Below are 3,466 nucleotides of genomic sequence, written 5' to 3'. Positions count from 1 at the left end.
GCCATCTCTAGAGCCCACATTAAATGTATTAAAAGATCCATTATTTCACCCTTGTGCTAAGGTCTTCTCTTTTTGGTGTCAGGCATTCCAGCTATCACCATCTGGACTTCATTGCTGTCATTTATTGACCTGTCACTCACATTCTCTGAGAACATTGGCTTCAGTCTCCTTGCCCAACTGCCCTTTTTCTAAACTGCTGCTGCTGCCCAATTAAAGTGTTTAACTGTAACAACCTTCATTGCCATCTCACGTTTCATGCAATCTCTGATCACAAAACCCTTTCTTTAAGATGTTACACTCTCATAATTCCACTGAATTTGTCCTTTGACATAATTTAGAACTCTGTCCGCAATCTACTTTCCTCATATTCATTTCTCCTACTGATGCAACTGACTTCTTGTTATATTATTTCAACAAATGTCTTATTTTCACACTCAATTTCCTCAATATCTTTCAGTCAGAACCAAGCCATTTTCAACTCTACATTTATCCAAATTTACACTGTCTGAGATGGTAGCCACTATCCACATGGTCTACTGAGTACAAGTAATGTTTGTTAAATGTGTGAAAAATGCAGTAGAGTTTGATGATTTGGTATGGAAAAATATAAGATCAAATTAGTAATACTTTATAATAGGAATTTATTATAATAAAGATTGTATAAAAATAAATATTTTATAATAAATATTTATAATATTTATGTTGAAATAAAATTTTGGATAATTGAAATCAATAGCATATAGAATATAATTTTTAAGTTAACATTACCTTTTCTCTTTTTTTAAATCTATTTTTACATGGTTACTAGAACATGTAAAATTACACATGTGGCTTGCATTTGTTGTTTGCATTATATTTCTGTTGAGCAGTGCTGATTTACACATGGCAATCCATATATGTCCTTTACTGTCAACTCTGGAGCCTTGAACTTGTTGTGTCTTCCTTGAAAAATGTTCTAACCTAATATGTCCATTTTTAACCAAATCAATTTTTAGCCTAAAATGACCATCAGTACTTCTTAGATGGCCTTTAACTTGTCCCCAATGGACTCAGTGCTCAATTACTTATTACAATTTATTGAGTAAATGCGCATTGAGTATCTACTACGTCAATCGCCAGTTTAGGAGTTGAGAATGAAGCAGTGAATAGCAGATTAAAATCAGTACTCTCTCCTGATGGAGTCAGACAATGGTACGGAATTCAAGTGGTCAGTCTGAATCGAAAATGGGATTCAGGAAATGGGGATAAAAAATGTCAAGAGGGGAACATTGTGAAATTTTTAGGATCTTCACTTGAAAAGGTCTCACTGTGTTGTAGCATCTGAAGGAAGTGAAGAAGCTGAGCATGGCTTCTTGGGAAGAGCCTTCCTGTTTACGGGAACATCAAATGGAAAGTTCTGAGCAATACTGGAGCACACATAGTGGCCTTCGGAAAGGCCATTGTGGCTGAAGCCAGAGATCCAGAGAGAGAGATGTAGATGAGTCAGGGAATTTGAGAGCAAGGGTGGGTGTGGGGCTGAACATTGGCTAATCAAATAGGTCACCATGAGTATTGTGGCATTTATGTCAAGTATCTGGAGGGTTTTGTTCAGGGTGAGTAATATGACCAAAAGTAAATTGTAATATTACTCTGGGTGTGGCAATGAGAAATGTGTGAGAGGAGATGAGGTTAAAAGTGAGTAGGTTGGTATGAGACAATTGCAATAGTCCAGGTGAGAGGTGATGATGGCTTATGTCAGGGTGGTAGCTAAAGAGGTAAAGTGCCTTCTCTCATAGAGGCAATAACAGCCTCTTGGTTGAATGTTCTGTGTCCAGAGAAATTACCTGCATTCCAACCCAGCCTTACCTTTCTCCTTTTCTCAGAGGAAGCACTACCCAATCTCCTACATAAGATTAATCCCCTCACTGATTTCCTGAATTCAATCCATTGCCTGTTTGTCACTTTTTTCCACTAATTGTACAATTTATTTTTGTTATTTCTAACTTATCTATCCCTATTGGTTCAATAACTATAAAGTTAAGAAAATAAATTTTCCTTCAAACATTCATTGTCTTCCTGTCCCATTGTTAGCTGCATTCTTTTCATTTCTTTCTGTTTTGCTTCCTGAAAGTATAATCTGTAATTCTGATTTCCAAATTCTTACCTCCCTATTAATTCTTCTAGCCACAGCAAAGTGGCTTTAGTCATCATCACCACAGAAAAATCATACTGACCTTCTGACTTAAAACTTTGTAGATCATTTTAAATCTTCACTTTATTTGACATCTTTGTGGCATTTGGTATTAATCATTTCTTCCTGGAATTTGTACTTTTCTCTGACCACATTTATGTCTCCACTGGTCTCTAAACCATTGGAAAGGATAAACCATATTCTGTTTAACTCTAGTCCCAAATATAATGTGTGTAACACAATTTTGCTACCCAAAACATACATATATATAGTATTCATATTTACTTAAATGTAAAATAAGAATATTCAATTTCAGTTAATGTGGAAATAACTCTTTCCCCCGTTCATGTCTTTCCATTCTTGAAAGAACTCAGCCTTCTCAAAGGGTCTATGACGCCTCCATTCCAAAAAGTAAAGGAGTCGTTTTCCTTTGCTCGTAGTTTTTGAAAATAGAGCCCTCTTTACTCTCAAGGAAAGAGGATCTAGAGTTTTAGCTGCAATAATTTTGGTCCCTACTCCTTCCAGATCTATTGTAAAGTAAATTAGCTTTCCCACCCTCCATCCTTCAGCTTTTGTATATTGGATAAAAAAGCTTTATGTTAAGAATTATAAGGCAGATTGCAAAGGGGATAGGTGAGGGAGAGGTTTCCTGGGAAATGTTGAGTTGGTGGATCAAGAAACTGGTCATTGAGTGAAGGTCTAAAATCATTGAATCCAAGTCCTCTGAACAGCCTGGTTAACTTCATCCCTCATGTGAATGGGATCCTTCCATTCCTGCACTCAGAGCCCATGCTGGTTTATCCTTGCCAGTGTCTCAGTAGTCATCCCTCCCATTGGGTTTGGCCCCTGTCTCAATACTCTGCACAGACCATATTGCAATACTTAGGAAACCTGTAACCCTAAATTTGGAAGGCGATGGAGAGGTGGGTGGTGTGTGCGAATGTGGATGTAGAGTGGGGGAGAAAGCTCCTACAGAGTAACTGAGGGCATGAACTGGGGTAGCTCTCACAGAGGCACTAGTTACTGATAACAGCTTTATCTCGATGAACTGCTTGTCATCTGAATGAACTGCTTCTCATTGTCATTGCCCAGCTTATTACCTACAAATCCAAATGGTTACATTTTCCATAGCTTATGGATAATTAAAACAATTTTAATAAAGAGGATGTTTGCACAGAATAATGGATTAGAACAGTTATTGAAAATCACTGTATAAAAGAAAATGGTTACCATGTTCACAGTCCTTGAAGTAAATTTAATTGATTTTATTAATGTAAGAAAAACAACAAAAAAACC

At 36.8% G+C, this 3,466-nt stretch overlaps 1 annotated feature.

The window, feature by feature from the left end:
- Positions 1,015-2,214: an enhancer, noted in NCBI's record as "P300/CBP strongly-dependent group 1 enhancer chr18:63326730-63327929 (GRCh37/hg19 assembly coordinates)". NCBI's record gives its function as "activates an origin of replication core promoter dependent on BRD2, BRD4, P300/CBP, MED14 and CDK7 cofactors, with strong dependence on P300/CBP, by STARR-seq in HCT116 cells {active_cell/tissue: HCT116}" and the evidence as "EXISTENCE:reporter gene assay evidence [ECO:0000049][PMID:35650434]".

This window comes from Homo sapiens, chromosome 18 (genome assembly GCF_000001405.40).
Source record: "Homo sapiens chromosome 18, GRCh38.p14 Primary Assembly".
Lineage (NCBI taxonomy): Eukaryota > Metazoa > Chordata > Mammalia > Primates > Hominidae > Homo > Homo sapiens.
Note: the sequence above shows the minus strand (reverse complement) of the source record. Positions and strands in the feature narration are given on the sequence as shown.